The 25,575-nt window shown below is 40.3% G+C and overlaps 1 protein-coding gene and 1 pseudogene across 4 annotated transcripts in view; both read right to left on the bottom strand.

The window, feature by feature from the left end:
- The window catches only part of GANC (glucosidase alpha, neutral C), an 80,466-nt gene that overhangs the window by 23,841 nt on the left and 31,050 nt on the right, over positions 1–25,575 (bottom strand). For 3 of the 4 annotated variants that reach the window (NM_198141.3, NM_001393928.1, NM_001393929.1), the window contains 8 exons: positions 23,214–23,280; positions 21,508–21,604; positions 19,363–19,543; positions 18,980–19,133; positions 7,806–8,041; positions 3,402–3,528; positions 2,384–2,463; positions 377–520 (listed from right to left, as the gene is read on the bottom strand). In NM_198141.3, the coding sequence (NP_937784.2) occupies positions 377–520; positions 2,384–2,463; positions 3,402–3,528; positions 7,806–8,041; positions 18,980–19,133; positions 19,363–19,543; positions 21,508–21,604; positions 23,214–23,280 (1,086 nt within the window). Of the gene's footprint in view, positions 1–376; positions 521–2,383; positions 2,464–3,401; positions 3,529–7,805; positions 8,042–15,009; positions 15,747–18,979; positions 19,134–19,362; positions 19,544–21,507; positions 21,605–23,213; positions 23,281–25,575 lie in introns of those variants that run through there. The other variant, NM_001301409.2, reaches the window with a different exon arrangement.
- On the bottom strand, positions 15,147–15,839 carry BNIP3P5 (BCL2 interacting protein 3 pseudogene 5; annotated as a pseudogene).

Here is a 25,575-nt window from a genome sequence, read left to right as displayed (position 1 = left end):
TATCTGTGAAATCTTAAAACACTTGTTTTAATTACCTTCATTCACATATTTATATACTGCTTGCATCAATAAAAGTTTGAGGTAGTGGCCAGTGAGTGCCACTTATTAATGGCTCCTATCAAGGCAGAAGCTTTATGTTATAATTAATTTCATAATATTTAAAAGTTCATCAAGTTCATCATGAAAAGAAAAGAAGCAAAGGGAGAAATAATAAAAAGTCTTGTATTGGCTACTACCTAAGACTCATTGCAGTTGTCAGAAAAGACACACAAAGAGAAATGAACAGTAGAGAATAGCCATTATATCACAAAGCAAATGACCTTCAGCCAAAAGGTGGGTCACACAAGCCCAGTTTAATTCTTTTTGGATGTCTTACATGATAAAAACCGTAGATGTTGTGGAGCTCTCTGTGCTCCCAATTGCCATGATGAATGGCATTCTTCTGCATGGTTTGCTCTGGCCCTCTAAAGACAGAAGGCTCATTCATGTCATTCCAAAGGAAGAGGATGTCCGTAGATCCCTAGGAAGTAAACCTTGGTCATGACACTCCTACATTGATGATGTCTATATAATAGCTGTCACCATTGCTACCTCATTTTAAAAATTATGTTTATTATCTATGCTCTGTCCTCTGCTCCACTGCTAGAGTATAAGTTCCACAGGGAACAACATTTTGTCTGTTTTGTTCATTAATAAATCCCAAACATCTAGAATAGTACCTGGCCCATAGACAGATCTCAATAAATATTTGCTGCTGAATAAAAGAATGCTGCCCTGTGTTGTCTGTGAAATATATATTGCCTGGCAAATTCATTCCAAGACCTCCCTGCAGGACTCCTATGGGAAAGGTTGTGAATGTTCACAATTGGGCTCCTTCTCATTCATCAGATGCTACAACTCTTAACTAAGGGCAACTATAGCTGAACATGACAAGATTCTACCTTCTCTCTAATACTTTGAAAGACTTGACAGCCAATATACCTGTTTGTTAACATGATCTATAGTTTGTATCCTACACAGAACTGTTCAGTTTAGAGTGGGAAGGGACAGTTGAGTCATCTAGCTAACATGGTATTGTAGAATCCCTGGTCTTTTCTAGAATCACTTATCTTTTGGCGTTTGACTGAATAGCTAAAAAGACAGGGAGTCCCTCAGGCAGCTCATTCTATTATTTTTCAAAAATCCTGCTCCTTGTATATAACATTCCCCTCGCAGAGCCTACCTAGCTTACCTTCTGAGACCCCACAGAATACATCTGTCACCTCGCCCACAAGAAAGTCTTTCAAATTCCTGGAGGTGGCTTGTTTTTTTTTTTTTTTGAATCTTTATTTCTAAACATGTGTGTTCTTCTATGTATAAGGGGGTAAATGATTTCCAAATATTTAACTACCATATCTTTCCTTTAGAACCATCTAAAGCAGGGATTGGCAAACATTTTTGGTAAAGGTCCAGATAGTAAATATTTTCAACTTTGCAGGCCATGAGGTCTCTTTTTCAATTATTCAACTCTGCCATAGTAGTACAAAAGCAGCCACAAATAGGGAAATGAATAGGCATGGCCAGATTTGGCCCAACGCTTGTCTATCCCTGTACTAAGTTGTTTATTAGTGCCCTAATACTTGATGCCAGAAACTACAGTTTAGTGGTTAAAAGCTGGGCTTAGGGCACAAACAGACCTGAGTTCAAATTTTGGTTCCACCACTTACTAGATGCATGACCTTGGCAAGTTTTTAAGCTTCTCTATGTCTCAATTTCCTCTTCTATGGGGTTAGATTTAGTTATAGTTCCAACTTCAGAGGGTTATTATGAAGACAAATGGTATGATGCACATGAAGTCATCCTTAGCACAGTGCTTGGCACACAGCAAGTACTCCATTTGCATTAGGTATCATCATCATCAACACTGCCATCATTAATATCATCATAATTGGTTGAAAACAGTTCTCCAGATGTGGCCTCTCCAGTTTCCTCTGTGGTTCTTATCAGATTATTTAAAAATCATACTTCACTTTTAATGACAAATACGTTGTAAGATATTTTCACATGTATCATCATATTTAAATAACAGTTATGGAACACAATTTTATATAAAATATATATAGCAATTTGAAAATATAATAAACCTCTGCTATAAAGTACTTTGATATATCATAGAGTCTATTATAATAGAGGTCAAAATCACAGGTTTTGTGCATTTGCTTATGCATATGGCACCTCTCCCAGCACCCCCAGAGTCTGTAATGTGGTGGCCATACTTGCCTTTTAATAAAAGCATTATATATCAAAAGCTACTCAATGAAAAAGAATAGTTTTATTCAATCACTTTTTCCACTTCTTTCACTCTTTCAGGTAACTAGAAAAGAACAAAGGAATAAAAACCAACCTGATAAACAGGGAAAGCAAAAAGACTTGAATACCACTCTCTGACCTTGGGATTGGTGAAATCCAGGTAAGAGGAGAGACCTGTGGAGGCAGAACAGTAGATAGCCTGTCAAGAACAGTGGTCCTCACAGTAGGATGCATTGTAAAGAAGGTATCAGATGTGAGAGCTGGGAAATGGGCACCTTACATAAACACGAAAGTTGGCTGACAGAGGCATGGTCTGTTGAGAAGTGAAGGAAGGTAATGCTGGGCTCCAGTGACAATCACTAGATCTTTCAATACCAGAAGCCCAGGGGAATGCCAATGCACAAGTATCATGATAGAGCCTGTCCCTCACTGATGGCCTAATATAGCCCAAGGAAGGATGGCAAATATCCTGCAGTGATCTCTTGGTTCTTAAAGAGAACAGGGAATTGTGTTCAAGGGATGTAAAGGGAAAAAAAGAAAGGCACGGGGTTTCTCTACAGTGCATGGATTTATGATAGATAGTGCTGACTCTTTATTTCTAAACAACGTATTTTCCTTTTGTCCTTGGGGAGTTTCTACCAAGGCTTTAAATTAATAACTTTTAATAACTTTTGAAATGAAGAATCCATAGTCATCAGGGTGGCTGAGGTGACTCATGAAAGCCTGGGAAGTCAAAACTATGGGCTAAAAGGGTGAAGAGCAATCACAAGGAGAGAGCTTGCAGGACCCACTTTTTTTCTTTCTCCTCCTCTGCTTTTCTTATTCCCCGACTTTTTATCTCTGTTTGCTTGGAGAAACAGCATGCCACTGAGGTTTGCTTGTTTATTTTTCATTCATTCAATTATTGATTGATAAATACATACAAAGCATATAGTACCAGGTATTATAAAAGATACAAAAGAAGGCAAACCTATCTCTTCATTAAATTATATGCTTAAAATGTAGCTAGAGGAGCAAGAGACATCTACAAGGGAGCAGAATGATGACCACGCAGCCTTCATTAATTGGGACAGAACATGTGGAAATAATAAGTGTATAAAGTGATTTCATACCTGGCCAACACACCCCTTCAAAGTCTTCCCCTTCCTGATTCTTCACAAAGAAGCCCTGATCTTTGGCCTTCACATATACTGAGTAGTCAGGATCAATCTTGATGTGGGGATCACTGATGACCACAAGCTGTCAGGACATGAAGGTTTGGAGGTCTCATCAGTTTTATGTAAGACAAATGTTCACGTATATGTTTTCGCCATAGTTTGGGGGTTCAATTTTTACAAACAACTACAACTAGTATTGAAATATTTCAGACAAAAAAACAAAAACAAAAACAAAAAATAAATATTTCAGACACCAGTAAAACCCTATAACCTTTCATGTGCTTATGAGAATTTCAACTGATACCAAAACTGGGCCAATGCTGGCCAGGCACAGCGGCTCACACCTGCAATCCCAACACATTGGGAGGCCAAGGTGGGAGGACTGCTTAAGGCCAGGAGTTTGAGACCAGCCTGGGCAACATAGTGGAACACTGTCTCTACAAAAAAATTTAAAAATTAGCTGGGTGTGGTGGTGTCCACCTGTGGTCCCAGCTACTCAGGAGGCTGAGGCAGGAGGACTGTTTGAGCTGGGGAGGTCGCGGCTACAGTGAGCCATGATCATGATACTGCAATCCAGCTTGGGTGACAGAACAAGACCCCATCTCTAAAAAAGAAAAAAACAAAAACAAAAAAACCAGGCCAATGCTCTTTTATAATTATTGCTGCCTAACCAATAGATGTTCTTTAAATAGCATTAAGTGTCTATCTGTCCATGATGCTGAGTGCTGCATACTATACATACAGAACTAAGTAGGCAGGGTACCTGCTCCCTAGACATTTAGACGCTCAGATAACATTGATATAAGCAAACATTAAAGAAACTAAGAGAATAACATGTTAAAAACAAAGTCCCCAAGCCCAGTGGTGCAGGCATATTAGGAAGGAGATTTGAGAAAAGTTGTAAGCCACAGCGCTGTGTCTCTAGCATCTCTCTGTGACTTTACAATACCATCACTTCCACCAGTCTAGGGCCTCAATAACACTTTATTTGGCCAGAACACCATCTAATCCTCCTTCCTCATCTCTATTCTAATCAGTCCTGAATATTAAAGTTTAATTCTTCATTGCTCAAACATTTTCTTAAATTTTTTTTTTTGTTTGTTTTTTGAGACAGAGTCTCGCTCTGTCGCCCAGGCTGGAGTGCAGTGGCACGATCTCGGCTCATTGCAACCTCCGCCTCCTGGGTTCCAGCGATTCTCCTGCCTCAGCCTCCCAAGTAGCTGGGATTACAGGTGCCCGCCACCATGCTGGACTAATTTTTTTTTTTTTTGTATTTTTAATAGAGATAGGGTTTCATTATGTTGGCCAGGCTGATCTCGAACTCCTGACCTCAGGTGATCTGCTCACCTCGGCCTCCCAAAGTGCTGGGATTACAGGTGTGAGCCACCGCACCCAGCCTTAATTTTTAAATTGTGGTAAAATACACATAACATAAAATTTACTATCTTAACCATTTTTAAGTGTGCAGTTTAGTACTGTTAAGTATGTACAGTCATAATGTTGTGTAGTCAATCTCCAGAACTCTCTCATGTTGCAAAACTAAACCTTTATACTCATTAAATGATGATTTCTCATTCCCTCCTCCTAGCTCCAGCAACTACCATTCTATAATACTTTCTGTCTCTATGAATATGACTACTCCAATTACTTCAAATTAGTGGAATCACACGGTATTTGTCTTTTTGTAACTGGCTTATTTCACTTAGCATTTATCCTCAAGGTTCATCCATGCTGTAGTATCTATTAGAATTTCCTTCGTTTTAAAGGCTGAATAATATTCTGTTGTACGTATATACCACATTTTGTTTACATATTCGTCTGTCAATGGAGTTGCAACCCAAGCAGCTTGGGTTGCTTTGACCTTTTGACTACTGTGACTAATGCTGCTATAAACATGGGTGTATAAATATCTTTTCAGGTTCCTGCTTCCAGTTCCTTTGGGTATATACCCACAAGTGGAATTGCTGGATCATACAGTAATTCCATTTTTAAATTTCTGAGGAACTATCATATTGTTTTCCATAACAGCTGTACCATTTTGCATTCCTACCAACGGTGCACAAAGATTCCAATTTCTCTACATCCTTGCCAACACTTGTTATTTTGTTTTTTTTTTAAATAGTAGTCATCTTAATTATGTAAAATGGGATTTCACTGTGGTCTTGGTTTGCATTTCCCTAATGATTAGTGGTGTTGAGCATCTTTTCTTGTGCTTGTTGGCTATTTGTGTATCTTCTTTGGAGAGATGTCTATTCAAGTTCTTTGCCCACTTTTTAACTGTTTTTTTTTGTTGTTGCTGAGTTGTAGGAGTTTGTTATATATTCTGGATATTAACCCCTTATTCAAAAACTTGTAATGTTTCCAAATGCATACAAAGCAGTTTACACAAAGGTCCCAACCTTTCTGGTCAGATCCTCCACTATTAGAACCCTCACATGCCTGGCTGTCAAACTTGCCTGTGCACTGCTTTCCGAACACCCCTAATGCTCCTTCCTCTGGCTGCATTGCCCTCTTCCCTCTCCCTGCTTACTCATTAGTTAGGGACATGCTTCAGGGCTCATCTAAAATGCACTTCTAGGCCAGATATGATGGCTCACGCCTGTAACCCCAGCACTTTGGGAGCCTCAGGTGGGCGGATCACCTGAAGTCAGGAGTTCAAGACCAGCCTGGCTAACATGGTGAAACCCCATCTCTACTAAAAATACAAAAATTAGTTGGCCATGGTGGCACATGCCTGTAATTCTAGATACTCAGGAGGCTGAGGCAGGAGAATTGCATGAACCCAGGAGATGGAGGATGCAATGAGCTGAGATCGCACCATAGCACTACAGCCTGGGTGACAGAGTGAGACTCTGTCCCCAAAAAAAAATTAAATAAAAAATAAATAAATAAAATAAAATGCACCTCTGGAACAAAGCCCTGCTTAAGTCTTGAGGATACAATCTTCTCTTTCTTGGCCTGCCCCTACCCTGACCTTTCTTTGGCCCTTATGTTACTTTCCTGTATTGTAGTTGGATACTTGCCTTTTCTTCACTCACTGTAAGACCACAAGGAGCTCATCTCTGTATACCCTTCAGCACTACCATAGCATCTTGAAGGTTCAAGGCCTCATTAAATAACTACTTATTAAGGACAGAAGATCTGGAGTCAGGCAGACCATGGTTCATATTCTTGCCATGCTATTTATTCACTGTGTGCCTTTGTGTAAATTTTGAAACCAGTCTAAGCCTCAGCTTCTTCATCTAAAATATGGGGTAACAAGACCTACCTTATAGTTTTGTCATCGCTGGATGGAATAATGTGTTTTATCATATTGTCTAGCCCATAACAGCTTGATATATGGTAACTATTTATTAATTGGGAAATTAGGAGTTAACTGGATGGGCTCTGGCTGTCTGTGAAAAGCCTGGTGGGGAGGTCAAAGGAATGGGTTGAAAAGTCAACCTTACTTTCAAGGAGAGGGACTTTATTCACTCACATGATACACATAGGGTTTCGCCCCCCTTCTCCTCTCTCCATTTTCTTCTCTCCTTCCATCTTTTCATTATTGCTATTACCACCACCACCACTCCTGGAACTGGAAAGCAGCATTATACATGTTCCAGGGGCTTCTCTCCCTCCCCATTTTCTATTTCCGTTCTTTTCTTGGCCAGATTGACAGGTGGAGTCCACCAGGGAAGCATGCAGGAAAAACAGTGTAATAAAGAATTTGATACCATATTTGATATTTGACTTTTAAGCGTTTTCAAGCCCTGCTACTCCCCCCTTACCCTTCGGCCCGTATCTGGACAAGCTGACAAAGAAAGCTCTAGTGCCCCCTCCTTTGGTGCCAGCAGGGGGTTCAAACTATCTAAGCCTCAGCCTGCGTGCAAGAGCCCTTGCCCTGTCCCCACCCGCTAACCACCATAAAAGCTGAGCCAATCTCCTTTCTCAGTTCTCTCAAGCCATTTTCAAACCAGCTTGGGAGCCACCCCTGCTCTCCCCAGAAAGCCTCATTATATGAGTAATAAACTTTTTAATATACTCTTAGTGCAAGTGTGGTGTCACCAATTGAGACATGGAAACTAAATTTTGAGTGGGGGGATCACATTACTACAGGGTGGCCACAACAAACGGAACTGAAAATGCTAGACCCCTTCTTCATTATGGTGACCTAGATAACTAAGCCAGGAATGGATGGGGTCATCACCTTTTTACCATTCACTTTCTCTCTTATCACAGTGACAATTATATTTGAATCTACTATTTTCACAGCCATTTTTTATCAGATGTTTCTCCACCACTGATGTGCCAAGGCAAGTCTAAAACATTTTTTAAAACTCTGTAATTAAAAGGTTCAGAAATGTTGGCTTATTTTACCTTACGCTTTTTGCTCCTGAGCAGCTCTTGCATCCTCTTGGGGTTTGGGAATCTGTTTTTGTCCCAGGTGAAGTACCTCTTGCCCTCAGTGTGCTCTATGTCCAGCCACATGGCATCATAAGGAATGTCATGCTCATCAAACCCTGCATCCACTGCTTTTACATCCTGCTCATCTTCATAGTTCCAGCGGCACTGGTGGTATCCCAAAGAGAAAAGAGGGGGCATGGCTTGTGTGCCTAAAAGAGGGAGATGACAACTGAGTCAACTGCCATGGCAATGACCATTATTCATTTGATAAACATTTCCTGAATGTCTACAGAGTATTCAGCACTGAGCTTATGCTTAGAATAACAAGGAGAAGAAAGCACAGTCCTTGCCTTTAAGGAAGTGACAACCTGGCTAATGAGGCAGGAGTGTAAATAAAGTGCTCTGCCCTGAGGTATAATTGCCAGGTTAAGCATCAGTTTAGTGCTACCAGAACACAGAGAGGTTAATAAATTCTGCCTGTGGTGAAGTATAGGGTCTTGAAAGGCTTCACAGAGGAGATAAAACCTGGTTTGGACCTTGTAGAGTTAGTGGGAATATACCAGACAGGAAGAATAGATAGAGCATTCCGGGCACAGGGAACAGAAAAAACACAGAGGCAAGGAAGTACATGACAGGCTTACAGAAAAATAAATATTCAAGGGTATCACTGTGAGAGAGACCAGTAGAAGATGAAACTGAATAGGGTCAGATTGTCAAGGGCCCTGTAATTGAGGTTAGGAATTCTGAATCTTGTCTTATGAGAAGCCATCAAAAGTCTGGCAAGATGTAATCTTAGCAGACCTATATTTTAGAAAAATTAAGTCAGGGTGCAGCATTGGGACTCACTTAAAGGTAAAGAAACTGAAGTTGGGAAGAAGTTTCAGTAAATTATTATCAAAATGTTTACTGATAACGTGAAGGACTTCTGGTCAACCACTTGCATGTATCTCCTTCCCCTCCTAAAGTCACACTAAAATCTGAGTAAAGAGAAGAAAAAAGGAAGAAAGCCACAAAAACAAAGAGAATGGGAGTGGAGTAATTTCAACAAAAATTTGGCAGGTGGCAGGCAGGAGCAGGGTGGTAACTGTTGGCCAAAGCCAGGGAAGCTCTCCCCAGAGTGGTATTGAGGAGGCTATTGACAGAAGAGCTCACCCTGCTCCCAAACACCAGTAGACATGCCCACTCTCAAAACTAGAGTGGAAGCCTCATCTAGGCACACAGAGCCTCACCATGAAATATGAATGGAGGCAGGTGTGGTGGCTCACACCTGTAATCCCAGCACTTTGGGAGGCCGGGGTGGGTGGATCACTTGAAGTCAGGAGTTCGAGACCAGCCTGGCCAACACGGTGAAACCCCGTCTCTACTAAAAATACAAAAATTATCCAGGTGTGGTGGCGGGCACCTGTAGTCCCCACTACTTGGGAGGCTGAGGCAGGAGAACTGCTTGAACCCAGGAGGTGGAGGTTGCAGTGAGCCGAGATTGCACCACTGTACTCCAGCCTGGGCAACAGAGTGAGATTGTGTCTCAAAACTCACATTTGAGCAAAGTCTCCAAAATCAGAGACAGTGACTCAAATAAGGAAACAGAAAAGGATCTCCAAGAAAACAGGAACAATGCAAGGAACCAAAGTAAATATCAAAACATTATCATTAGTATCTCTAGAGAGATGAAATAAGGTATTATACCCTTAAACAAGACTAGGATAGCATAAAACAAGTGTAGGTTGAGTATCCCTAATTTGAAAATCCAAAATCTGAAATACTTTAAAATCTGAAACTTTTTTTTAAAATTAATTAATTAATTTATTTTTAAGATGGAGTTTAGCTCTGTCGCCCAGGCTGGAGTGCAGTGGCACGATCTCAGCTCACTGCAACCTCCGCCTCTGGGTTCAAGCGATTTTCCTGCCTCAGCCTCCCGAGTAGCTGGGACTACAGGTGCATGCCACCATGCCCAGCTAATTTTTGTACTTTTAGTAGACAGAGGGTTTCACCATGTTGACCAAGCTGGTCTCAAACTCCCGACATTAGGTGATCGCCCATCTTGGCTCCCCAAAGTGCTGGGATTACAGTCATGAGCCACCAAATCTGGCCTCTAAAATCTGAAACTTTTTGAACACCAACATGACACTCAAAGGAAATGCTCATTGGAGCATTTTGGGCTTTGGATTTTCAGATTGGGATGCTCAACCAGTAAGTTTAATGAAAATATTCAAAATAATCCCAAAACTGAAACACTCTAGAGTCCCAAGCATGGAATACTCAACCTGTATACAATTTATAAAACAATAAATGTCATTTAACGTGGTGTGCTATTTTGAATTCCTCATCAAGTTTTAGAAGTGGGGTAAAAATACTTAGAAGATCTCAGTGCTTTGGAAGGCTAAGGCAGGAGGATTGCTTGAGACCAGGGGTTTAAGACTAACCTGGGCAACAGAGCAAGACCCCATCTCAACAAAAAAATTAAAATAAATAAATAAAAAGAATTAGCTGGGCATGTAGCACATGCCCACAGTCCCAGCTACTCAGGAGGCTAAAGCGGAAGAATTGCTTGAGCCCAGGAGCTAGAGGCTGCAGTGAGCCATGGTCACGCCACTGCACTCCAGCCTGGGCAACAGAGTGTTTTTTGTTTAAAAACAAAAAAACAAAAAAGAGGCTCATCAGACTTGAAATTATACAGAGCAGCATTGATCATGAGTTTGTCTGACTGAAACAGGTTAAATAAATTATGTTACCAGCAAATTTGCTACTTGAAAAAAATAGGATGTACACATTTCAGGATAATAAATGTTTTGCCATTGCTTTGCATAAAATGAAAACAAAAACCAAGGAACCATCAGAGGATAAGAAAGAGCTCCTTGAAAGCAGAAACATGATAGCATAAATGGAAAGCCTAGAAGATAAAATTGAGAAAATTGCTCAAAAACTAGGCAAAAAAGGAAAAGGAGATTATAAAATCCGTAGAGTAGAAAGAAAAAAAGGAAGGGAAAAATTAATCTAAGGAATAATACAAAACAGTTTCTCAGAACTGAAGGACACAATTCTCAGGATTGAAGGGGTCCACATCTAACATCCAGAACAATAATTATTTTAAAAGACCTAGGGCCAGGCATGGTGGCTCACACCTGTAATCCCTGTAAAGCACTTTGGGAAGCTGAGGTGGGAGGATCCCTTGAGCCTAGGGTTTTAAAACCAGCCTGGGTAACCTAGGGAGACCCTGCCTATATAAAAAATGAAAAAATTAGTTGGGCATGGTGGCACATGCCTGTTAAGTCCCATCTACTCAGGATTCTGAGGTGTGATGATCGCTTGAGCCCAGGAGCTTGAGGCTGCAGTGAACCATGATCACACCACTGCACTCCAACCTGGGCACAGAGCAAAACCCTGACTCAAACAAACAAACAAAAGATCTCCATCAAGGGATTTTATTACAAAATTTCAGAATACTGGAAATTTGGAATGTTAGTGATAAAGAGAAGGTATTTCAGAGAGAAAAGATAGATTATATACAGAGGAACAAAGGAATAGAATTAAGAATGGTTTTGGAGCAAGAAGGTAGAAGACAGTAAAAGAAATGCCTTCAAATTCTGAGAGAAAGAATATTCAGTCTTGCCAGGCAAATTATCAGCCAAAGGTAAAGGTAGGAAAAAAGATGGTTTCATACCTGCAAGGAAGCAAAAAGAGTACCTCCAATGCAAATGTTCTTAGGAAACTACCAGAAGATGCTACAAACAAATAAACACAGCAAGGGAATAAACCAGAAAAGAGAAAAACAGGGAACTGAAGAAAGGAGGGATACAACACCAGAAAACAGCAAAGGTAAGTTCTGAGATGAAAGCTGTGCAGGGAACCTAGAGAACAATGGTCCAGATGGGAGGAGGAAGATGAAGAGCTCTGGTAGGGAAGGAAGTCTCCAGGGAAAGAAGTAGACTGGATAAAGTAACAGACACCCTTGAGCATGTGAAAAATGTAAACATTGAATATTGATTTAACCAAAAATTGTGATATAACTAGATTGGATGGGAGACGGAGGAGGGTATGGTATATGATTGAGCTAAACCCTCAGCAGGAGTCAACAAATAATCTTTACTGTCTTTGAACATGGTGGGAGATCCAGTATTTTGGAAGTGCTTTATCATAAACCAGCATTCTCACTAATAACAATGTTGAATGTAGCTGCAGGTGGGCTTTGATAGCACTTATTCCTGCATGGGTGCCCATATCCATAAATTGTCATTCCTCCCATCACAATTGGAACTGAACATGGGCTAGACTTAGCTTGCTTTTAACAACTGAATGCAGCAGAAATGATGCTGCAATACTTTTAACAGCTTTACTGAATTCACGTACCATGCAATTTACCCATCTAAAATGCACAATTTAATGAGGGTTTTTATGGCATATTACATTATTGATTCTTAAAAATTGTGTTAAAATATATATAGCAAAATTTGCCATTTTAACCATTTCCAAGTGTCCAATTCAATGGCATTAATTACATTCACCATGTAGTACAAGCATTACCACTATTTCTAAAACCTTTACATCACCCCAAGCAGAAACTCTGTAATCATTAAGCAGTAACTCCCTAACACTCACACCTCTCAGCCCCCTCTCATCTCTGTCTTGACAAATTTGCATATCATAGCTACTTCATATAAGTGGATTATATAATACTTGTCCTTTCGTGTCTTATTTCATTTTCCATATTTTCAAGGTTCATCCATGTTGCAGCATGTATCAGAACTTCATTTCTTTTTATAGCTGAATAATATTCTGTTACATGTATATACCACATTTTGTTTATGTGTTCATCTTTGATGTGCACTTGGATTGTTTCTACCTTTTGGCTATCATGTGTGGGCGAAGGATTACCCAGGTGCCGAGGCAAGAGACTGAAGGCACAAACTGTAGCAGTATAATAAAGAAAATAGTTAGAATAAAGAATAGTTATAATACAAATTAGATATAGAGATGATCATGGACAATTATCAATCATTAGCGTAAACATTATTAATCATTAGCTTTTAATATTACTCTTTGTTGCATTACTAATATAACCTAGAATAACCAGCGGGTATAGGGTCAGGTACTCAAGGGACATTGTGAGAAGTGACCTAGAAGGCAAGAGGTGAGCCCTCTGTCATGCCCGCATAAGGGCCGCTTGAGGGCTCCTTGGTCAAGCGGTAACACCAGTACCTGGGAAGGCCCCGTTAATTAGCAGATAGTGAAAGGGAGTCTCCTTTCCTTGGAGGAGTTAGGGAACACTCTGCTCCACCAGCTTCCTGTGGGAGGCTGGATATTATCCAGGCCTGCCAGCAGTCATCTGGAGGCTTAAACCCCTCCCTGTAGTGCTGTGCTTCAATGGTCACGTTCCTTGTCCACTTTCATGTTTCTCTTTTAAGTTCATAGTAGATAGCGGTAGAATAAATAGTGAAAGTCTTAAAGTCCTTGATCTTTCTTACAAGTGCATAGAAGAAAACGCATAGAAGAAAATGCTGCCTTCCCTCTCTGCTTTGGCTGCCTAAAAGGGAAGGGCCCCCGTCCCATGATCACGTGACTTGCTTGACCTTATCAATCACTTGGACGACTCACCTTCCTTACCCTGCCCCCCTTGTCTTGTATGCAATAAATATCAGCGCGCCCAGCCATTCAGGGCCACTACCAGTCTCCGCGTCTTGGTGGTAGTGGTCCCCTGGGCCCAGCTGTTTTCTCTTTATCTCTTTGTCTTGTGTCTTTATTTCTTACAATCTCTCATCTCCGCACATAGGGACAACACCCACTAAGCCCCATAGGGCTGGACCCTACAATTGTGAATAATGCTACAGTGATCATTGGCATACATGTATCTGTTGAGTCCCTGCTTTCAATTCCCTTGTGCATATATCTAGGAGTAGAATTGCTGGGTGTATCAGTTAGGGTTCTTCAGAGAACACAGGGTTTTTCAGAGAAACAGAATTAATAGGATTTATATTGAATATATTTATATACTTATAAATATGTATACATACACAGAGAGAGATACAAATACTTATTTATTTAAAGTAACTGGCTCGTGTGATTGTAGGGGCTGGCAAGTCTGAGTTTTGCAGGAGATACTGGCATACTAGAAAACCAGGGAGGAGTTGATGTTGCAGCTTGAGCCTGAAGGCAGGCTGGAGACATTCTGTTTTCCCCAGGGACCTTAGTCTTTTTCTCCAGGCCTTCAACTACTGGATGAGGCCCACTCTCATTATGGAGAGTAATCTGCTTTCCTCAAAGTCTACTGACTTAAATGTTAATCTCATTAAAAAATACTTTCACAGAGACATCTAGACTGGTGTTTGAATACCTGGGTACCACGACCTAGTCAAATTGACACATAAAATTAACCATCATACTGAGTCATATGGTAATTCTATGTTTAACTTTTTGAGGAAATGCCAAACTTTTCTGCAATGGCTGAACCATTTTACATTTCCACCAGCAATGTTCCAATTTCTCTGCATCCTCGTAAACACTTATGCTTTTCCATTTTTTTGGATTTAGCCATCCTAGTGGGTGTGAAGTGATATTTTACTGTGGTTTTGATTTGCATTTTCCTAATGACTAACAATGCTGAGCATATTTTCATGTGTTTGTTGTTCACTTATTTATCTTCTTTGGAGAACTATCTCTTTAAATCCTTTGCTCATTTTAGAATTGGGTTGTTTATCTTTTTGTTGTTTAAGAATTTGGTAAAGATTTATTTATTTATTTTCCATTTCTAGTCTTTTAAAGTATGGCTTCTTTTCTTTTTTTAAAGGATATGGCAAATATTTATTTTTTTCCATTTCCAATCTTTTAAAGTAGATACAGATATGCTTAGGATAAAGCTGATTTTAACAGCACAAAAAAGTTGAGCACAAAGGATAGGATTAAATTCAGCAATCCAGAGTGATAAAGAGGAAAAGATACTGAGTACGTGCCTTTGACAGACACATTATCCAAGTTGATTACCTAATAGTTGGAGGTTGAAGTCCTTATGCTGCAAAAGTGAGAACAATTTGGTGTATGAAGTGTATGGTGGCATTTGTAGCTGTAACTTGTTCTCTATTTATTAAGAACAATTACCATAGTTAAGTGTAGTCTTAGTAGACAACCTGCATTTATTTAAATTAAACATAATATTTTCCACAGTAGTGTAAGTAAGGCCACAATATTTATTCTGGGCAAACCCTTTAATGTAGTGATTTTAATATCACTGTCATTCATTCTTTTGGAATATAAAGTGTTTTAACAGAATTCAGGTTACAGATAATTTTTAAAATGCTATATCATGACTAATATATTAAAACGATACTTACATATTTATACTAATATCCAAAGAAAACTCACTGCCAAATTGTTACAGTAGATATTAATCAGTCTGATACCCTTATTAACTGATTCTATAGGTATAAGTATAGGTCAGTGTGATTTTAGTGTCTATTCTTTCATTTTACTAAATTAGGAAAGCAGTATTTACAGAACAAATAAAAACAAGTGAAACAGCCACCCAAGGACCATAACAGCTCCTGAGTTAGCTGTGTCACAAGCTCAGATAGAAATCCCCACTATACGCACAAAGCTGGATTCAAATTATTCATCAAAAGGTGCTGGTAGAAGTTGTCAGATGCCTTCCAATATAGATCCCCAATCCCATGGCCACCAGATGAGACAGCAGCAAAACCCTTTGGAAATTCTGCTGAGAAAATGCCCCCTTTCCTCATCAGGCTTTAAATTCCATGCTGGGTAGCTACGTGCTTCAGGTGCTTTAAAGAGGAACTCCTTGTGGGGAATATTTTCTGGCCAACTTGTCCAATCCCATATCCAATCTGAATTTTTCTTCAAGATGCTTTCAACTTCTTTCCTTTTCTCAGTATCTTCCTCAGACTGAGAGCTATTTTTCTCCAATGTCTGTAAAAGAGGTAGGCTGTCACAGAACTTTTGGAGCTACTCTGTCCAAATTCATTTTAAGCATCCAGCTGTATTTTTTCCATGTCACTATTACATTAATTTTGTTGTTGTTGTTGCTGTTGTTTTTAGAGATAGGGTCTCGCTCTGTTGTCTAGGCGGGAGAGCAGCAGCATGAACAGTGCTTACTGCAGCCTTTCTCTGGGAAGCAAGGCAGAGGATTACTTGAATTCAAGGAAGCACTTTGGAGGCTTCCCAAAGCACTGGGATTACAGGCGTGAGCCACTGTGCCCAGCCCATGTCACCATTATAAACAGAAACTGATGTTGGAGCACTGTTCCCCTTCCTATCATTGCTAAAGTACAGTTCTATCCAGGAGCCCTGCAAGCTCTTTCCCTACAGCCTGGGGTCCCTGCTCTGTGATATGGTGCCCAGAAGGTGGCTGTAGCAGTCTGGGTCACTGTTTGGTTGTGGTCTAGAGGCTGCATGCGCCCTCAGTGGCAGACGAGCATGAGGGATATGGGCCCAGTGCTCAGCCTGTCTTTTTGTTGCTCAGTGGTAGACAGTTCTTCATGTATTCTGGATAAGAGACCCATATCAGATATACAATCTGCAAACATTTTCTCCCATTCTGTAGGTTGCTTTTTCACTTTATGTTCTTTGATGCACAAAAGTTTTTAATGTTAGTGAATTCTAACATGTGTTTCTTGTCATTGTTCCTCACGATTTTGTTGTCATATCTAAGAATCCACTGCCAAATCCAAGTTCATGAAGATTTACCTGTTTTCTTCTGAGAGTCTTATGGTTTTAGCTCTTATATAGTTGAACCATTTTATTTTTTTGTATATGATACACATATAACATATTTTTGAATATAGGAGTCCAACTTCATTCTTTTGCAAGTAGATATCCAACTGTCTCACACCATATGCTCAAGAGACTATTTCTTCTTCATCGAATGGTCATGAACCTTTATTGAAATTATAATGGTGACATGGACAAAGCACTGTGGCTTGTGCCTGTAATCCCAGTGTTTTGGGTGGCCATAAGCGTATGGGTTTACTTCTAGATTCTCAATTCTATTTCACTGGTCTGTATGTCTATCCTTATTCCAGTAGCATGTTCTTTTTTTTTTTTTTTTTTGAGACGGAGTCTTGCTTTGTCACCCAGGCTGGAGTGCAGTGGCATGATCTTGGCTCACTGCAACCTCCACCTCGCCTTGTGGGTTCAATCGATTCTTCTGCCTCAGCCTCCCGAGTAGCTGGATTACAGCCCACCACCATGCCTGGCCAATTTTTGTATTTTTAGTAGAGACAGGTTTTCGCCATGTTGGTCAGGCTGGTCTCAAACTCCTGACCTCAAGTGATCCACCCACCTCAGCCTCCCAAAGTGCAGGATTACAGGCATGGGCCACCGTGCCTGGGCAGTGGCATGTTCTTTTGATTGCCATAGCTTTGAAGTAAGTTTGAAATTGAGAAGTTGTATTTGATTTTCACTCTGCTTAAGACATACCCAAGACTGGGCAATCTACAAAAGAAAGAAGTTTAATTGTAGAACTTACAGTTCTACATGTCTGGGGAAGCCTCACAATTGTGGCCGAAGGCAAGGAGGAGCATGTCACATCTTCTGTGAATAGCAGCAGGCAAAGAGAGTGCTTGTGCAGGGAAACTCCCCTTTTTATAACCATCACATCTCATGAGACTCATTCACTATCACGAGAACAGTACGAGAAAGATCTGCCCCCATGATTCAATTACCTCCCACCGGGTCTCTCCCACAACAGGGGAATTCATGATGAGATTTGGGTGGGGAAACAGCCAAATCATATAAGAAGTATAAATTTTTCAACTTTGTTTCTCTTTTTAAGGATTGTTTTGGCTATTCAGGTCCCTGTGCAATTCTATGGAAGATCAGCTTTTCCATTTCTGCAAAAGAAGCCATTGGAATTTTGATAGGGATTGCAGTGAATCTGTGAATCACTTTCTATATTACTGCCATCTTAACATTGCCTTCCAACCTATGAACATGGGATGTCTTTCCATTTATTTAGGCATTCTTTAATTTCTATCAGGAATGTTTTATAGTTTTCAGTGTACAAGTCTTTCACCTCCTTTGTTAAGTGTATTCCTAGGTATTTTATTCTTTTGGATATTATTGTAAATGGAACTGTTTTCTTAAATTTTTTTGGATTGTTCATTGCGGGTATATAGAAACAGAACTAATTTTTTTTTTCGTTATTGATTGATATGGTTTGGATTTGTGTTCCCACCCAAATCTCACGTCGAATTGTAATCCCCAATGTTGGAAGAGGAGCCTGGTGGGAGATGACTGGATCATGGAGGCGGATTTCTCCCTTGCTGTTCTTGTGATAGTGATTTCTCACAAGATCTGGTTGTTTAAAAGTGTGTGGCACCTCCTCCCTCTCTTTATTCCTCCTGCTCCGACCAGGTAAGATGTGCCTGCTTCCCCTTTGCCTTCCATCATAATTGTTAAGTTTCCTGAGGCCTCCCCAGCCATGTTTCCTGTACAGCCTGCAGGACCATGAGCCAATTAAACTTATTTTCTTTATAAATTGCCCAGTTTCAGGTATTTCTTCTTAGCAGTGTGAGAGTGGATTAATATATTGATCTTGTACCCTGCAACTTTGCTGAATTTACTACCTCTAGTAATTTTTTTGTGGATTCTTTGGGATTTTCTATATATAGGATCATATCATCTCCTATAATCTTATTTATTCTTTTCCAATTTTGATATCTTTTATTTATTTTTCTTGCCTAATTTCTCTGGCTAGAAATTCCAGTACAATGTTGAATAATAGTGGTGAAAATGCAATGCCTTGTCTTGTTTCTGATCTTAGAGAAAAGCTTGCATTCTTTTAAAATAAAATGCTCTAATGCTAAAGCCAGTTGCATATTTTAATGGAGAAGAAAACATAGAAAAGTTGAAGTTGGGATACTGGTCATCTGAGATAAAGGTAGAGATAGCCCAGGGGCTAAAAGCTTCAAGGAAAGCAGATGGCAAGTATTAGGAACTAGACAGTAGAGCATTCTAGACCCAGTGCAATGTTTTACTGAACTGAATGGGATGAGGATGGGAACAGAAATGCTTGCTAATTAAAATGCTTGGGTAAGTTATAAACTCTACATAGTATACAACAAATATTAACTTACCGTGATGACACATGGGACATTGGATATGTAACAGAACAAGAAACTGGCACTTCTTCGTGCAAATACCTGTAAGGTGTGAGTACTGTTTGAAGACATCAGAAGGTGTAGGTCCTGTCAGCAGAAAAACATCAATGATGCCACTCTCTGACATCCAGTGCACATGAGTGCGAGATCTGACCTTTTGTTTAGCAGCAACTGGGCCCATCTGGGTCAGTGTGTACTGGAAAAAGAATGGAATAAAAATTTGAGAAATTTCCCTCTAACCTGCAACATCCAGCCACATATAAGTAACAGTCTGATCCTTTAGTAGATACTACTGATATTCACTGATTACACTGTAAAGCTTTTGTTGGCAGAGAAGTGCCAATACAAAGATAAGAGCTATAACTCCACTGCAGTGGTTTTGTTTCTTCTTTAAGTATGACATGTAGCCATGATAAATAGCTCACCTCTACTGCAGGCTCTGTATTGATCTCCACCAGTGTTTCCGAGGCATTCAGCCAGAAAATACCTATAGTTCTGCCCAGTTTGTGGGCCAGGAGATAAGGTACTGAACCATAAATGCCCATTTTATCATATATTTGGTATCCATAGACATCCAGGTTATAAAGACGGTAAGCATCTCCATCACTGAAACACAAAGATTATCATCAATTACCATCACAAATATATTATTAATATTAATAAATAGAACAGCTCTACTCTTCTCTCTAAACACTTAGGTCCCACGCATCTTTGGAGGCTCAACTCTTGCCACTTCCCTAAAGATTTCCTGACCCAACTTAGGTGAACGTGGTCCTCTTCCCTTGACTCCTTTGGCACCACTTCCTGTGACATTAGCACATACGATCACATCTTAGACATCTTTTCTAAATATCTCCTTTTTCTTTTTTCCAGATAGGGTCTCACTCTGTCACCCAGGGTGGAGTGCAGTGGTGCGATCTTGGCTCACTGCAAACTCTACCTTCCAGGGTCAGCAGTTCTCCCACCTCAGCCTCCCAAGTAGCGGGGAATACAGGTGCGTGCCACTACACCCAGTTAATTTTTGTATTTTTTGGTAGAGATGCGGTTTCACCATGTTGGCCAGGCTGGTCTCAAACTCCTGACCTCAAGTGATCTACCCACCTCGGCCTCCCAAAGTGCTGGGATTACAGGTATGAGCCACTGTGCCCAGCCTAAATATCCTTTGAGTGGAGGACTCTCTCCTATGAATACTCCACAATAGCAAGCACACAGCAAGTACCCACTGATGAATTTTGTGAGTACTTCTCTGCGGTTAAAAGAATTGTGTCCAGGCTGGGTGCCGGTGGCTCACGCCTGTAATCCCAGCATTTTGGGAGGCCGAAGCAGGTGGATCATGAGGTCAAGAGATCGAGACCATCCTGGCCAACACTGTGAAAGCCTGACGCTATTAAAAATACAAAAATTAGCTGGGCGTAGTGGCGCATACCTGTAGTCTCAGCTACTAGGGAGGCTGAGGCAGGAGAATCGCTTGAACCTGGGAGGCAGAGGTTGCAGTGAGCCGAGATCACGCCACCGCACTCCAGCCTGGGCGACAGTGCGAGACTCTGTCTCAAAAAAAAAAAAAAATTGTGTCCAACAGGCTTCCACAGTGCTTAGCAGGGGAAGATGGGGAACTGAATTGGGGGTGGGAGCACAGAGCTGAAATCAGTGTGAGAGCAGCACAGTTTCTGCTGGACTTGCCACTGTGCCTACCTGAAAGTAAACAGCACCTGAACCTGGCAATCTTATCAGACTCTGTTTCTCTTTGGTTTTGTTTCCTCTTAGTCTGATGCCTCGGGCATCTATTTGTCAATAGTGTTAGCCTGACATGATATCCCTGAGGAAACTAAAGGTGATATGAGATACCACATTTTTCCATTCTCTGGCTCACTCTCCCATTTTGGTAAAAGCCTTTTTCTGGGTCAGTGATTTTTCACAATATATTCTCCCAAGGCTCCACAAAAGGTCTTGAGAGGTAAAAGTGAAACCCGAGGATAAAGATCTTCCCTCTATTCTGATCACAGCAGCTCCATAATTTTACTTCCTCTATATTTCTAGGTTCAGTATTATAGTTTTTACAGTTATCTAATTTTTCCATTAAAAAAATAAATAAAACTGGAAAACCGGCCAGGCACGGTGGCTCACTGCTGTAATACCAGCACTTTGGGATGCTGAGGTGGGTGAATCACAAGGTCAGGAGTTCAAGACCAGCCTGGCCAACATGGTAAAACCCTGTCTCTACTAAAAATACAAAATAAATTAGCCAGGCGTGGTGACAGGTGCCTGTAGTCTCAGCTACTCAGGAGGCTGAGGCAGGAGAATCTCTTGAACTCTGGAGGTGGAGCTTGCAGTGAGCCAAGATTGTGCCACTGCACTCCAGCCTGGGCGACAGAGCAAGACTCTGTCTCAAAAAAAAGGAAAACCACTGCTCTGAGTGATCATTCAAGGAGGGTTCTTAAAGATCCACAAGCAATATAAAGGAGGAAAAGGCCTGGCACATATTAGCACTGGCTCAGACAGCTCACAAATGTTTTCAGATCATCTCAATACAAAAACCAGAGACTCCCATAAGAATTCTTGTTTTCACTTACCCAGTATTTTTAAGTTGGTGTGATTCTGCATGTTGTGGGATCCCATAAAGATGCTCAAATCCATGCAAGGAGAAATCCAAACCAATAGAAGAAGGGCCTGTAGAGACCAGGATACTGAGTTTTGTTTCTGAAAAGAACACTCACTTAAGGAGATTCAGTTAATTCTGAGTGCAGAGAGATGACTAGACTAAAGGCTGAGAGACCTGGGCTCACCTAGATCAATTAGCAAATGCTGTGTACTGACCCTCTGTGAGATATTATATTCAGGTGTTGTGGGGATACAAAAATGTGTAAGGCAAAGTTCTGGTCATGTATTAGTTCTGTTGCCTTAGCTGTGTGATGAAGCTCTCTGTGTCCTCTTCACAGTAAATCTCGTCTCTATATAAAACATCATTACAAAGTTTTAGATTTTTTCCTAATCGAAATTTTCCTTATCACATATTTCTTTGCTTTAGGAAGCAAAGGATATTGTGCACTTTCAGTCTACACTAGATGAAATGACTGATTGTCTTGTGCCTGATCATTCTTACTGCCAGCCTCGTCTGTGACTACCTACAGGGAATGCAAATGTCAAGGGCACCAGGAGGGCCATAACTGGTTCCTCAAAATACTCCTCCTCTGTGATTATATAAATTTCCTTTAACCAAAGACGAAGTCTTTAACAATTATTTTAGAGCTATGGGAAAAATGCAAATGACTAGGAGGTATAACGTGGACTTTAATTTATGCTTAGGTTAAAGTATTTGACATCAAATGGTCCTTATTTGTAGGAGCTTGTGGAAAAGGGATGCTACAGAGAAGGTGAAAAAGATTATGACATGGCCGGGTATGGTGGCTCATGCCTGTAATCCCAGCACTTTGGGAGGCCGAGGCAGGTGCATCACTCAAGGCCAGGAGTTCAAGGGTGCAGTAAGCCATGATCATGCCACTGCACTCCAGCCTGGGTGACAGAGTGAGAACCTGCCTCAAAAAAAAAAAAAAGATAAAAAGATGATGATGTTACAGAAAGGAGGGCCTGAGAACCCATGCCCCCACTTTTAATTTGGGGCATTCTGTCAGCCCTCATCATTATACTATGCTATAGATAATGATGGCTAGAATGGGAATTTTAAAGGTGTTAGAAAGGGTTTGTTATTCTACAGAATAGGGAGGAGGAAAGAGGAAAGTGAGTATTTTTCTAACTGCATAAGCCCCAAGTACCTGAAAGATATCTCCTAAAGAGACAAACTCGCCCCTCTACCCTAATTCCATCACTAAGCCTGGTGAGAAATGTGACAGATGGGCATGTGATACCCATGTGAATGATGGGGAGGCCTAGAAAAGGTTGAGAACCATTGGCTTGAAATGTTGCAACAGAGTGGCTCTAGAACTTGGGTTTCTCATCACTTCACTCTCATAAAAATTTAATGTGGAATTTGTAGCTGTCTTATCTGATGAACAGTGCAAGCAGTGTGCTGACCCATGACCCTGTATGAGACCATAAGCTCCGTGTGGCCTATATTTCTTTTACACTTCCTACAAAAGGCAAATAATTGCTATTTCTCTGATGCAATGCATTACTGAAGGATAGCAAATCTGATCTGGGATTTCTGTTCTTCTGTTAAAGTCACCTGTTTTAGGTGCCAGAGATCAAGGGGCTTTTTGATAGAATTATGTAGACATTTTTAGAATGATCTGTTTTAATACTATACCAGTTTCAATTTTACCATTAGCTTTGATATCCACAAATTTTCCAAATTTCTCTTCCCACAGGCCCAGATCTTCTTGATTTTCCTGTTGGTACAAAAAAGGGAGCAAACTGAGTTTACAAATTGCAACAAATGTGTTTACCACAATAGCTCATTTTATTTGGATTATTTTTTTAAAAGACTGAGAAAGTGAGTTCATCTTTTAGAAGACCAGTGTGTGACGTCAGTACCTTTAACAAATCAAATCTGTGTTCTATATACATGTCAGTAATAATCTTTATGGGCCATAGCTGACATAAATATGTTTTTTATTGTGGTAAAATATACACAACATAAAATTTACCATTTTAACTATTTTCAAGTATAAAGTTCAGGTTCAGTGGCTTTAAGTACATTCACATTGCTGTGCAACTATTGAACTACTAAAAATACAAAAATTAGCCGGGTGTGGTGGCTGGCACCTGTAGTCCCAGCTACTCAGGAGGCTGAGGCAGAATAATTGCTTGAACCTGGGAGGCGGAGGTTGCAGTGAGCCAGTATCACACCACTGCACTCCAGCCTGGGCGACACAGCGAGACTCTGTCTCAAAAAAAAAAAAAATAGACATGGTGGTTTGCTGCACCCATCAACCCATCATCTACATTAGGTATTACTCCTAATGCTATCTCTCCCCTAGCCCCCCATCCCCCAACAGACCCCGGTGTGTGATGTTCCCCTCCCTGTGTCCATGTGTTCTCATTGTTCAACTCCCACTTATGAGTGAGAACATGTGGTGTTTGGTTTTCTGTTCCTGTGTTAGTTTGCTGAGAATGATGGTTTCTAGCTTCATCCATGTCTCTGCAAAGGACATGAACTCATTCTTTTTTATGGCTGCATAGTATTTCATGGTGTGTATGTGCCACATTTTCTTTATCCAGTCTATCACTGATAGGCATTTGAGTTGGTTCCAAGTCTTTGCTAATGTGAACAGTGCTGCAATAAACATATGTGTGAATGTGTCTTTATAGAATGATTTATAATTCTTTAGAAATATACCCAGTAATGGGATGGCTGGGTCCGATGGTATTTCTGGTTCTAGATCCTTGAGGAATCACCACAGTCTTCCACAATGGTTGAACTAATTTACACTCCCACCAACAGTGTAAAAGCATTCATATTTCTCCACATCCTCTCCAGCATCTGTTGTTTCCTGACTTTTTAATCACTGCCATTCTAACTGGTGTGAGATGGTATCTCATTGTGGTTTTGATTTGCATTTCTCTAATGACCAGTGATGATGAGCTTTTTTTGTTTGTTGGCCACATAAATGTCTTCTTTTCAGAGGTGTCTGTTCATAACCTTTGTCCACTTTTTGATGGGGTTGTTTTTTTCTTGTAATTTTAAGTTCCTTGTAGATTCTGGATATTAGGCCTTTATCAGATGGACAGATTGCAAAAATTTTCTCCCATTCTGTAGGTTGCTTGTTCACTCTGATGATAGTTTCTTTCGCTGTGCAGAAGCTCCTCAGTTTAATCAGATCCCATTTGTCAATTTTGGCTTTTGTTGCTATTACTTTTGATGTTTTAGTCATGAAGTCTTTTCCATTTCTTATGTCCTGAATGGTATTGCCTACGTTTTCTTCTAGGGTTTTTAAGGTTTTAGATCTTATGTTTAAGTCTTTAATTCATCTTGAGTTAATTTTTGTATAAGGTGTAAGGAAGGGGTCCAGTTTCAGTTTTCTGCACATGGCTAGACAGTTTTCCCAGCACCATTTATTAAATAGGAAATCCTTTCCCCATTGCTTTTGTCAGGTTGTCAAAGATCAGGTGGTTGTAGATGTGTGGCATTATTTCTGAGGCCTCTGTTCTGTTCCATTGGTCTACATATCTGTTTTGGTACCAGTACCATGCTGTTTTGGTTACTGTATCCTTGTAGTATAATTTGAAGTCAGGTAGAGTGATAACTCCAGCTTTGTTCTTTCTGCTTAGGATTGTCTTGGCTATATGGACTCTTTTTTGGTTCCCTGTGAAATTTAAAGTAGTTTTTTCTAATTTTGTGAAGAAAGTCAATGGTAGCTTGATGGGGATAGCATTGAATCTATAAATCACTTTGGGCAGTACAGCCATTTTCACAATATTGATTCTTACTATCCATGAGCATGGAATGTTTCCATTTGTTTGTGTCCTCTCTTATTTCCTTAAGCAGTGGTTTGTAGTTCTCCTTGAAGAGGTCCTTTACATCCCTTGTAAGTTGTATTCCATGGGCATTTAATGCTACAAATTTCCCTCTAAACACTGCTTTGGCTGTGTCCCAGAGATTCTGGTACATTGCGTTTTTGTTCTCATTGGTTTCAAAGAACTTGTTTATTTCTGCCTTCATTTCGTCATTTACCCAGTAGTCA

The sequence above is a fragment of the Homo sapiens genome, chromosome 15 (genome assembly GCF_000001405.40).
Source record: "Homo sapiens chromosome 15, GRCh38.p14 Primary Assembly".
Lineage (NCBI taxonomy): Eukaryota > Metazoa > Chordata > Mammalia > Primates > Hominidae > Homo > Homo sapiens.
This window is presented reverse-complemented; position numbering and strand designations above follow the sequence as displayed.